The sequence below is a fragment of the Homo sapiens genome, chromosome 1 (genome assembly GCF_000001405.40).
Source record: "Homo sapiens chromosome 1, GRCh38.p14 Primary Assembly".
NCBI lineage: Eukaryota > Metazoa > Chordata > Mammalia > Primates > Hominidae > Homo > Homo sapiens.
Genome location: NC_000001.11, coordinates 223244369 through 223257415, shown reverse-complemented (window position 1 = coordinate 223257415; position 13047 = coordinate 223244369). Strand labels below are relative to the sequence as shown.

General features: G+C 45.4%; 1 protein-coding gene across 14 annotated transcripts in view, besides 1 other annotated feature; it reads left to right on the top strand.

The window, feature by feature from the left end:
• The window catches only part of SUSD4 (sushi domain containing 4), a 144405-nt gene that overhangs the window by 107820 nt on the left and 23538 nt on the right, over positions 1–13047 (top strand). The gene's annotated exons all lie outside the window — the stretch shown is intronic.
• Positions 12606–12725: an enhancer, noted in NCBI's record as "active region_2588". NCBI's record gives its function as "activates an Ori minimal core promoter by ATAC-STARR-seq in GM12878 lymphoblastoid cells {active_cell/tissue: GM12878}" and the evidence as "EXISTENCE:reporter gene assay evidence [ECO:0000049][PMID:35858748]".

The window sequence follows — 13047 nt, the reverse complement described above, 5'->3', positions numbered from 1 at the left end:
AGGCCCATGCCACTTGATCTTCACTCCCTTCCTTGCCTATGTTTTTTTTTGTTTTTTAATTGTAAAAATGTTTTTGTAGAGACTTGGTCTCGTTGTTTTGCCCAGGCTGGTCTCAAACTCCTGGCCTCAAGCAATCCTCCCACCTCGGCCTCCCAAGGTGCTGGGACTACAGGCATGAACCACCGCACCCAGCCCGTCATCTACATTCTTGAACAGGGACAAATAATATTTCAAATTTCTTCCTCCTGTGAACAACTGACTGCATGGCAGAAAGCACCTTGTTCCTCCCTGCACTCCTAGCCCCGGCACATGCTTTATATTCTACAAGTTGCAGCTGTTATAACTAAAACTTCTTTTGATTCATTTGACATTTTTGGATGCCTACTCTATGCCAAGCACCGTGCAGGTAGTTTATTTCATGATCTCTCCTAACAACAGTCACGAGAAGCAAGTGTGGCGCCAGCCTATAGATGAGGAAACTGAGGTTCAGACAGCTCCGGTGCTCCTTCCCCAAGGTCACTCTGTCCACAGCAACCGGCCCCTGTGCCTCCTGAGCCCACACCTTCTACTGACACTACTCTTCTAGGCCTTCTAAGACCCAGACTACCTGCTGGAAATTTTGATCTGGGTTCTAATCCTAGCTCTGTCCATTTCCTCAGACAGAATGGAAAGGAGTTGGAAGGGTTGATCTTAGAGGCTCCTTCCTGGTGGTCAGATTCTTTGATTCTGCTCTTAACCAGAACTCACACTGTTCTCAGAGAGGCTGCCCTGTCCCTGGCTGGCTCTGGAAGGCAGGTGGCAAAATGAAGGGGAGAGGTGCTAGGAGAGCTTCTCCCCCCAATGCTGGCTAACAGAGTTTTCCTGAAATTCATGTTTATACAGTCAGCCTGTGAGCCTGGAGTCATCTGCAGGAGGAGAGCGGCAGGAAAGGAAGAGATGTGTGGTGAGGGTCATCTTGGTAACAGGCACATCACCTGCTATCTTTAGTCAGCCTCTAGACAACTCCAGGTATTACTGTCCTCTATTTTCAGATAGGAAGCAGGCCTGGTCACACCCCTTGGCCTTAGGGAGTAGGCTGCAGAGCCAAGATTCTAAACCAGCCCTGACCTGACTCCTAGGCTGTGCTTTCTCCTGTACTGCACTGCCTTCCGTGGGAGAGACCAGCCCGGCCACCTGAGTAATCTGCACAGCCACCCATTGATGACTTCTTTACCATTAGTGTTCTCAGGAACCTGAATTTTTATCATGTAAAAGGCTTTGGAGGAGGGAGAGGGCAATACCATGTGATCTGCCCCAAGCTACACTGTATACAATGGTGAGCAATGGGGGAATTTCCATTTCTTCCTTCCCTTCCTCCCTCCTTCCCAGGCAAGGCGCTGGTGCCAACCAGGGATGTACAATGTGCCAAGTGGCCACTGCTATTAGAGACTCAAGTCTTGTGCACCTCTGTGTAAATGATAATAGCAGTGACCACCTGGACACTGAATACCCACTCAGCCTCCCACAGTTCTGAATAAACCCGCTGGCCAGAGGCGTGGTCTCAATTAGCCTCTCCTGGGCCCTCAAGCTCCCTGCAGGCTTATCCGTGATCCTGCCAGTAGCTGGACCCAGCATAAAATTTAATCGGCAGAAAAGGAAGAAAAGGGCAGCAAATGCCTTTTTTACTTGATATAGCAGGGGAGCTTCTTTCCATGGGACAGTAGAGGGAGGGCTTCTGATTAATCTGCTTGCCCTAAGCTCTGCCCTTCCCTCGCCTCCTCTAGCTAATACAAGGTTAGGTAATGCTTGGCCAGGGGTTCTGGAACATAAGGCTCTAAGGCCCTGGGAGTTCCCTGGGAAGCCCCAGGTAACTTTGACCCAGGCTCCCCCAGCCCCAATGGCTCTGTTTTATATATTTACATATTATGTTCTCACTCAAGATTTATTTGAAGGAAGAGTTTGCTGGCGTGAAATATGAAAATCATACATCGGGTTCTGCCTCCTTAGGAACTTGAGACCAGAGCAATGAAATGATTGGCTTGGGTCATAGAAACCTCCCACCCCCCAACCTCTTTAGACTCCCAGCCTTCAAGGATGTAAGTAGATGGCTAATTTATAATCCTAATTAGGAATCCAGCTTACATCAGTCAAAGTTTTACAGGATTTTTAGATCTTATTCTCAAAAGAATCTTCAGTTCCCTTTGAAGATGAATGTGTGTTCCCTGGGCCTAGGAAAGAGAAAATCTCATGCCCTTTCCCTCCTGTGTTTCTCCCTGTCTGAAACAAACAGAGGTCCCTTTGTGAACTGAAAATGAATTCTATGGCCTGGGCACATACATTAGTACATACCATCCCCTTTTGCCATTTTGTTCCCTGGCAGTGAAAATCCCTGTGTCTGGTGCTGTTCGTGTTACTATCACCTTGCCTGTGACCCTGGTGGGTGTTTTATTAGAGGGAAATGCAAAATAGCAAGCAATCCTGTTAATTCATTGTTCACCAGCAATAGTAAATTATTCTAATATCATTTCCATGTACTGTTCATATATTACAGCAGAGTGATTACCAGAAAATAGCTGCTTGCATGCCATACAGCATTCTCAAGGATCACTGTGCTTAATTTTCTCTTCTTCTTTTACAATAAGTAATTGCCACTGTAGCTTCCTCCTCTTCTTGGTCACACATCTCTCTCATACTCAAGATAGATTGTGCCATGGCATCAAGAAGCTTCATTATTCTTTTTTCTTTTCCTATATCAAATCCAGAAACACTGATCTTTTTGTCTTAAGAAAACCAAGAGACCTTATTCCTTTTTTTCAAGTAGATCCAAGTTTTCAGGCATTCCTGCTATTACTTTTTAGACTCTTTTTCTCTTGCGTTTTCTGATTCCCAACATGATAGATGGTCCTCATCCTCTCTCTCCGAATCTGCTGTTCACTAGCTTAAGACCCTTGGCAGGCTCCTGTCTCAGCACCTTGCCTTCCTTTTAGCCTTGGTGGAAACACAACCATTAACCCTCTGTCTCTCCTGGACTCCTATAATTATCTGTCTCTTTTTTTTTAATCCCGTGTAAGTGCAGAGATCTAGACTGAGGTCAGAGGAAGAAGAGAGGTGATTCTTCTCCCACCAAAGGGGAAAGAAAGCTGACAGCTTCATTGGTTTGAACTACCTCTCCCGCCAAATCAAGAAATGAAGAGATCACCCAAGGGAGGACTCAGATAATCCCCTCTCCCCACCATTCAGAGATGGGATTTCACCAGTCTCAAGCCCAACTCTACCCAAGCCCCCATCCATGGTTCTCACCTGGGCAGGTCGCCTGTCCCGGGGCTTGCATGAGCCTGGCAGGATTCCCTGTTTGGAGCAGGGGGTGGAGAACATGTCCCTTTCTTTCACTGAGTTCACAGTTCTCACCAAAATATAATCCTCCTTTGCCCTGTAGTCCCCTCCTATTTTTGCAAATCCACAGACATGCAAGCTGAGGTCTTTATTTTGTGATGCTTAAATGTCAGGTTACTGAAGGAAGTGCAGAGCTAAGCAACAGCAAAGCTGTGACCAGGGGTATGAGCCTCTAGCTTATGCCACGAGTGGGACCTCATTATGCTCAGAAAATAGATGACCGGTACAAATGGGAGATTCTCAGTGTTTGTCCTTAAACTCTAGAGTATCTTCTCTATCCCTGCTCCAGGCAGGATTTATTTCTTTCTTTCCTCTCTGGGAAGTAAGATGACTTGTATTTCATAGTAATAAAACCTCTTGCAGTCAGGTGGAACACAGAAGGTAATAAATGCCTGCAGTCATTTCAGGGGCCTTTTTCAGGCTGGGAGTCACTCGGCAATATTCGGCAGGGTGTTTGGGGTCATTCCTCTCTGTTGTTCCTTTCTTCCTTCTCCACCCCAGTTCCCACCCCCATCTCCACTTTCCTTCATAAACCATTGCCGTAATTCCCTGCCTTTTCTCCCAAATTAATTAGACATTTGGAGTGATGCGTGGGTAAAATAGTCATACCTTTCTATTCCTATCTTTTTGTCTCATGTCATTCATTTTTTTCATAGAAATGGTAACCATCATGCCTATGTTCATGATCATTTTCTTTTTTTTTTTGTACTGAAGCAAGTTTTTGTTGTTTTTGGCTTGCGTTCTGTAAAAAGATAATGCCTGACTCCGAACTGTGCCCACATCCTCTAAAGTTAGAGTGTGCAGAGAGGACAGAGCCTTCATCCCATGGCACATTTTTTTTCTTGTGGCTTCTGAAGAAAAGTCCAGGACTTTGTTTACATTCTGGCCAGTTTGTTCTTTGATGGATGACAACCTAATGAATTTTCTTTTTCTTTTTCTTTTTTTTTTTTGGAAACGGAGCCTCACTCTGTCTCACCCAGGCTGGAGTGCAATTGTGCAATCTCGGCTCACTGCAACCTCCGCCTCTCAGGTTCAAGCGATTCTCCTGTCTCAGCCTCCCAACTAGCTGGTACTACAGGCTGCACTGCCATACCTGGCTAATTTTGTGTTTTTAATAGAGATGGGGTTTTTTACCATGTTGGCCAGGCTGGTCTCAAATTCCTGACCTCAGGCCTTGGCCTCCCAAAGTGCTGGAATTACAGACATGAGCCTCTGCGCCCGGCCCCTAATGCATTTTCTGACCCCGTCTTCTCCATTCCTAGGAAGGGATTTCATTGGTCCAGGCCTTAAGAAGGGGAAGCATGACTGGAGTTTAAAAAAAAAAGCCAATTATATGGAAATTCATATTTTAAAACTAGTCCTTAGTTCAAGCTATCACAAGTAAACACCTGTGCCTACATCAGTCTGTATTTTCATACTATAAGTATATTATTCTGATGGAAATTATTTTGAATTGGGAAGAAAAGTTAATTTGTTCAGGAAGCTGGGAAGCCAAGAATTCTATAGCCAACCATGGCTAAAGCAGCATGCCAATGGGACCTTTGCCTACCATTCTGCTTGACATTTTTAAAGACTCTGTGGCCCTTGGAGTTAGCTGTGGGGGACTCTACTGTCCCTGGAGCATAACGATCCCCAACCTGGTTTCAGCTGCTGCCTCATTCCTTGGCGTTCGATGGCTTGTCGCCGCTTCATTCCAGCCTCTGCCTCGGTCATCACATGGAGTTCTCCCTTGATGTCTGTGTCTTCACATGGCCGTCTTCCCTCTGTGTGTCTCGCCTCTTCTTCTTTTATATATATATATATATATTTTTTTTTTTTTTTTTTAATTATACTTTAAGTTCTAGGGTACATGTGCACAACGTGCAGGTTTGTTACATATGTATACATGTGCCATGTTGGTGTGCTGCACCCATTAACTCGTCGTTTACATTAGGTATATCTCCTAATGCTATCCCTCCCCCCTCCCCCCACCCCACAACAGGCCCTGGTGTGTGATGTTCCCCTTCCTGTGTCCAAGTGTTCTCATTGTTCAATTCCCACCTGTGAGTGAGAACATGCGGTGTTTGGTTTTTTGTCCTTGCAATAGTTTGCTGAGTTAGAATGGCGATCATTAAAAAGTCAGGAAACAACAGGTGCTGGAGAGGATGTGGAGAAATAGGAACACTTTTACACTGTTGGTGGGACTGTAAACTAGTTCAACCATTGTGGAAGACAGTGTGGCAATTCCTCAGGGACCTAGAACTAGAAATACCATTTGACCCAGCCATCCCATTACTGGGTATGTACCCAAAGGAATATAAATCATGCTGCTATAAAGACACATGCACACGTATGTTTATTGTGGCACTACTCACAATAGCAAATACTTGGAACCAACCCAAATGTCCAACAATGATAGACTGGATTAAGAAAATGTGGCACATATACACCATGAAATACTATGCAGCCATAAAAAATGATGAGTTCATGTCCTTTGTTGCCTCTTCTTCTTATAAGGACACAAGTTGATATGTTTTGGATGTTATTTCCTCCAAATCTCATGTTGAAATTTGATTCCCGGTGTTGGAGGTGTGGCCTGGTGAGAGGTGATTGGATCATGGGGGTGGATCCCTCATGAAGGGCTTAGTGCCATCCCCTTGGTGATGAGTGAGTTCTTGCTCTGAGTTCACATGAAATCTGGTTGTTTAAAATCATGTGGTATTTCCTCCCATGTCTGGAACCCACTCTTGCCATGTGACACACCTGTTCTTCTTTGCCTTCTGCCATGATTATAAGCTTCCTGAAGCCTGTGCCAGAAGCAGATGATGGAGCCATGCTGGTACAGCCTGCAGAACCATGAGCCAATTACACCTTTTTTCTTTATAAATTACCCAGTCTTGGATATTCTATTATAGCAATACAATGAACAGACTAACATAACAGTCATATTGGATTAAGGGCCCACCCTACTATAATATGACCTCAATTTAATTACATCTGCAGTTACCCTATTTCCAAATAGGCCCACATTCACAGGTACCAGGATTTCAGTGTAAGAATCTGGGGGATACCCAATTCGATCCACTGCACATGCTCTCCCTGCCTTAGCTTTGGAAGAAGCAAACTCCCTTCCATCTTCCCTCTAGCTCTTGCTCCCAGGTTTAAAGGGCTGTCTTCGAATCTTCCCAAACCCCAGTTGGCCAGCATCCTTTGGCCTGCCCACAGCCCCTTCCTGAGCTAACCTTGCCTCTAGCCCGGTACACCGCACCCTGCTTATGCCAGCTGAGCCAAACAGAGGCTTCCCTGTATCTGTCAGGGTTCCTCCAGCTCTCTTTTCCTCTAGCTCTGGAGGCCTCAAGGCTTTTCCGAACTCTAACCCCATTGTGCATAATACATGTCTTAGCAGATAATGAAATCGTTGCTCTTCCACTTGGCTGTTGGGAGGCACTATGCTCCCTTTCTCCTGTGTTCACTTAAAACCCCATGGCATGACTCAGTAAGATATGGCAGCTTTGGAGTCAGCAGCACATAAGGTCCTGTCCCAGCTCGCTGTTAGTTTGCTAGATGACCTTGGGCAAATAACTTCATCTTTCTCAGCCTCAATTCCCTTATCTTTGCAAATGAGGCAATAGCAACACCTGCTCTGCAAAATTGTTGTTAGGATTGAGTGACATAATGTGCATATGTTGCCTCATAGTACGTTCTTGTGAAATGTCATTACTGCTCTCATTTCATCTCACTGGCCTGTAATGTAGCTAGTAATAGTCACTGTCTCTTTTTATTGAGCATTTCCTTTTGTGCCAGGCACTTTGTGCTTGGTGATTTACGGATATTATTTCTAATTCTTATAAATTTCCTGCAATGTAGGTATTACTATTTCTGTTGACAGATGATGGAAACCAAAGCTCAGAAAGAAATGAAAGTAAAATGAATGAAAATGAAAATAAGATGAGAAAGTAAAATGCCCAAGGTCATGGCCACTAAGTGTTTGAGCCAGGATGTGAACCCAGGAAAGTGCACCTTTGCACTCTTGCACCTTTGCACTAGAGGCAGTGCAAAGCTGCCTCTCTAGAGTCTCTCATTAATCCACTGATTTTCTTATGTCTTCTTAGCCTGTCCTTTCTCACATTCTCACCCTCACACTTTCTCCTATTCTGTTCTCCTAGCTGACTTTTCCCTTTCTTCCTCTCTTTTCACTGTCCATGTCTTCTAAGCCAGTGTTTCTTAAATTTGTTCAGATGTCAGAAAAGCATGGTGCCTTTCACAGAATAGCATGCATTTTTTGTTTTATGTTTTTTGCAGAACACTAAGAAATACTGATAAAATTCTATCATGTAAACTTTAGAATTACCTTTGCTAGTGGAAACTGTGGCTGTTTATTTTCTATGGATAATATAAACTTATTATAGAACTAACTATAATATAGAACCCATAAGTGCATACACACATACACTGAAGCATAGCTAGGAACAAAGCATGACCAATTGCTTCCTCCTCTTCTTAACTCACTACTCAATTATGTATTTCCTCATCTATTAGGACTTGCTAATAGACAAGAATGAGAAGGCACTAAGGATTTTCCTAAAAATTTATGGGAGGAAGACTGGAGGCTCAGAAAATTGTATACATGAATGTATGTGTGTCTGTGTGGCACTTTGGTCCAGTATGTGGATACACTAGCAACATTTAACTTCAGTGTCATCTCTGATAATAGACGGGTTTGCTGATTGCAGAGAGGGTCAGAAATGATCCACTCTAAATGCTCCCTTACCTGTGGGCTTCCTGGGTTACATGGTGGGACACACGCTCCATTTTAATCTTGTGCCCCTGATTTCCTTCCCTTACAAAAAATTCAGATGCCCCAATTACCTTTAGGAGTCCTGACTGTAGGGGGATCATGTATTGGAAAATGTTCACAGACGTCAAAACACTCTGACGCCACAGATGTCTTGTGATTTATTTTCACCTTGTGGTGGTGAAGACTGACCTCAGTGTAGCCACTGTGGCTCCTATCAATGCAAAGAAAGCAAGCAACCTCATCAGAACACAGAAACACGTGTCAGCTTTTGATTTCAGCACCAGCCATTCCCCGCTGCTGTCAGAGGAAATCACGGGTTTGCACCTGCTCCCTCACCTGTGTGCTCCTCTGTGGCTTCCTTGTGGCTTCGAAACTAGGCACACTTCAGATTTCTTATGTGAAGCCATTTTTTTTTTTCAGTGAAGTTTCACAGTTGTCATCACATGCATTTTGTATTCCTTCAGGGACATCCTAACGTAGTGACTCAGAGATGGAAAGCAGGTGAGAGCCCCTCCCTCAGCGCTGCTGGGTACTATTGATCTTAAATTTGATCTGTCAGCACATCTCTGAGTAGGTAAACACCATGCTCCATCCTGCTCACAAACAAGCAAAGCCCCAGCCTCATGATCATTGGCTTCCTTCAGTAGACACATGTGTTGGCCTTCTGTGTTGTTACAACAAAACACAAGTGGAAAATGTAATGTGCTGTATAATGTTTATTGATTTTCCCTGAGCTAAAAGCAAAGTTTCAGACGTAGTCATGGAGATGGCCAGGACTTTGGTACAGAGGGTTCCGTGCAACTTCCTGGAATCATTACCCAAATTTAGATCAGACTGGGGATGGCTGGTGCAATGGCAGTTTTGATGATTAGAATTCAGCAGAACTCCTGCAGGCAGAGGTTGGGTGGTTCTGTACAATATGGGAGCAGAGTCCCTGTCTTCCTGTTCCCTCTCAGAGCCACATAGACAACATGCTGGGCTGTCTTGATGCGATGCCTTTGCACTCAGTATACAGGCTCACTGGCTTTCCTGCCACTTCTCCACGCTCCTCAAGGCCAACTTGAGACTTGAGACCGTAGCATTAAGAGTCAGCTTTACTACTGAGCTCAGCTACAGAGTTTCCTCATGATCTGGAACAGCACTTCACTTCCCAAACTGCACTGTGCATGTGAATCACCTGGGAATCTTGCTGAAATAAAGTTTCTGATTGAGTAGGTGTTGCTAGAGAGTACCAATTTCTAATAAGCACTTAGTTGATCCCAAAATGGACAGTCCATGGACTGCAATTCATATAGCAAGAGTCCGGTGAAAGGTGAAGACCCAGACCAGATACCATGACAATTTAATTTGCATACTGGCTCCACTGAATGTTGTAAACCATCCATCCTTAGCACGTAGGGGATGGAGGGGGTCTCCTGACCATTGCAACTGTGGGGACGGTGCTTCTCAACTTTGTCTACCCGTTAGAATCACCCCAGGGCTTTAAGACCCATCCAAGCCCAGGACCCCCTCCAGACCAATTAGGCAAAGCTCCCCAGGTGATTCTGTGCAGCCAGGGTTGAGGAACCAGTGGCTTAACTCATTATTACACTCTTCAAATGCAGCACTAACATGGCAGAAAGAGGTGTGACAGTAATAATAGCAACAAACATCTGGAGCATGCATGTTCTGCTGTTTCACAAAGCAGATTCACATCTGTTATTTCTTCCTTATACCAACTGTATATGGTAGACCGCTGCTGTAAGAAGGTTACCAAAAAGGGATGATGGCTCAAACAAAATAGAAGTTTATTTTCACCTAGTGGCATTGAGTGAATATTGATCCGCCAGTGCCTCTTCTCCACCCAGTCATTCAGGGGCCAGTGGAAGCTCTGCTGGCTTCAGGGTGGGCTTCTGAGGTCCCCTAGGAGATCATTTCCATTCTAGGCAGCCAGAGAAGCATGGGAAGGCTTCATGGATCAAGCGTGAAAGTAGTAGTTATCATTTCTCTTCATATTCCATTGGCTAGAACTTAGAGAAACAAGGGACAGTGGGCAATGTGGACCAGCTGGGTGCTCGTGGAACATGGGTTATGGTGAGCAACCAGCAGCCTCTCCCACGAGCTGTGTGGGGTAGATGTGAATGCACAGACTAAAGGAGCAAGTCTTTCCTACATGAAGAACACCCGGGGGGCTGTATGGACCTTTGGAACTAGTAAGAATGAAAATACTCAGTCAAAGCACCTGGGCTCAGTGGCTCAGAAGGATTTAGTAGGTTAAAATATTCTATAATACTACATTAGTATTCATTCATTGTACATTCTAAATATTCATTTAGTAAGTTAAAATATTCTACATTCTTCTGCTTCCCCTGCCCCATGCCCTGGAGTTATTTGTATGGATAGTTGCAAGGCACACACTGGTTTTAAGCCTCATTTTATTATTTTGCATGTAATGAAACATATAAATTGGTTAAGGACTGTGATAAGTGATACATAGTTCTCATCTCAGCCCCCCTCCCACCTCTGAGTGGTGGCCTTGCCTCACACTTCATTCGGAAAAGGGGAGCCTTCAGAGGGCAGCTTACTCACATCTCCACCACCCTGGCCACCGATCTGCTGAGGCCTGTGTCCAGCACTCATGCTTCCCTCCAGCCCCTCCTACGCCTGTCAGAGGCCAGCCCCTCCTTCCACTCATGTGGAAGATCACATCTTTCTCCTCCTGAATGACTGCCCTCCTGCCTGGATTACCAACCTTGTACCCTGTGTTGAACCACTCCTGCCAACGTCTTAACAAGATCAAGAGCTCTGGGGTGGGGGCGGGGCTCTCCCTGGACCCTCCGGCCTCTGCTTTACTGCTTCCCTGCAGCAAACTTCTCTAAAGAGTCACCTGAGGTTTCCATCCCCTTTTACTCCCCAACTCACTGCAGAATGGCTTCCCCTCTGCCACTGTATCAAAGCTGCTTTTCTTAGGGTCTCTACTGACTCCCATTTGGCCAAATCCAATGGCCACTCTTCTTTTTCCATCCTTCTCAGCTTGTGAGGAGCTGCTCCCTCTTCCTTGGGACAGTCTCCCCTCGCGGCTTCCATGATGCGCCCTAGTCTCCTCTGCCATCTTTTTCGTCCCTGTAGGGTGTCTCAGCATTTGGACTGGGTCCCGTTCCCTTTTCTGTCTGCCCTCTCCCCTTATGTGAGTGCGTGCAGTCCCGTGGCTGTAAAGATTATTTCTATGCTCATGATTCCTGAGTTCTGCATTTATCCCAGACTCTTTCTCTGGCTGCCTAACTGACCTGGATGACTTTCCCACTGGAAGCTCAAACCCGACCAGTGCAAAACCAAGCTCTGTACCACTCCCTTGCCATGAAACAAATAAACCCAACAAAAACCTAGCATAGTCAGTAGTACCACAATCGAGCCAGGTCAGAAATCTGGGAGTTATCCTTCTTTTTCTCCTAGCCGCCTAATCACCAAGCCCTATTTAGAAACAGAGGAATAACATTCAAGTCACTCTTCTTCCCACCACATTGGCTGCCACTGTCCTGGTCCAGGCCGCCATCATCTCTCCAGGCATGGTAGCCACTTCCTGGCAGTCCTGCCATGTCTATCCCTGCTCTCTAACAGCCTGTTCTCCACCCAGCTAGCTTTTAAGAAATATGCCAGTTCCCACTCTTTGCAGTGTCCCTTCACACTATGATAAAATCCCAACTACTTGCCGTGGTTCCATGCAGCTGCACACACAGTGTCCCGCCTGCCTCCCATCCCTCGTGCTGTGTAGCCCTCTGTCTCCTGCACACTCAGCCACCATCGGCCTCTCTTCACTGCCTCCAGCCCACCTTCACATGTGCCATCCTCTCTGCCAGGCACATCCTCCTCCAGCACTTCCTGGACCGAGTCCTTCCTAGTTTTTATGCATCGTGCATTCCTGTATGCATTTATGATCGGATTAGGGCCTCTCATCTCTCTGTAGTGAAGGGACCAGTGATTTGGTTACTGTTTTCTAATACGTTGCAGACCAATAATACACAATAAAAACAGATACTAGATAAAATAAAAAGACAAACACATAATACAAGTCCCATTTTTAACTATCAGATTCAACTGTAGTCAAATTGCATTATTTAAATGCAATTTAGATATTGAAAGTATCTATCAAAATAGAAATTGAAAACACATGGATGTTGTGACAAGGTCAGATTGATTTCTCTATTTATTTGTCATGGATTTGTAGCCAACAGTTGGTGCACCAGTAGGGTGCACCAGTGGTCTATGGACCCCACTGTGAATAGGGCTGTTCTAGATTTCAGTTTAAAAGTCATCTATTTAGGGGACTTTCCTGGACAGCTCATCTAAAGCAGATTCTTGCACACACACCCAGTGCTGTTAGTCTCTCTTCTGTACCTCCTATTGGTCTCCAGTGTGGCACAGAGAATTTGTGATTAGATGTAACGTGAGCAGTTTCTTATCTTGAAATCAGTCTGTTGCTTAGCTGATGAGTAATTTCTTCCACCTCTCTGACCACCCATATTCCCTGCTGAAGGTACTTTGGGCACCTGCCTATGATTGCGGGGACAGAGCAGCTCCCTACCACCCTGTATCAGAAAACAACACCTGAGCCTACACCAAGACTCAAGCAGATTTTAGTCACCAGTTCTCAGTGGTAGAATCCAATCTGTAGCATCAGGGTGGGGTTGGAGACTCAGCAGGGTCCCTGCATTATCTACACTGAGGGACCAAGACCATGAGACATCCCCACGTGACCTGCCCTCTCTTGATAGAGACTGTTCCATCCACAGACTCTCCTTCTTCCTGTTTATTTTGTCTTTTCCATTGCTCCCCAGCTGCACTGGCCCCTTGAAGTCTCACCTCTCACCTTTCCTAGACCCGGGCCCTTTTCCTGGCCTCCTCTTGTGTCTGGAGACTCC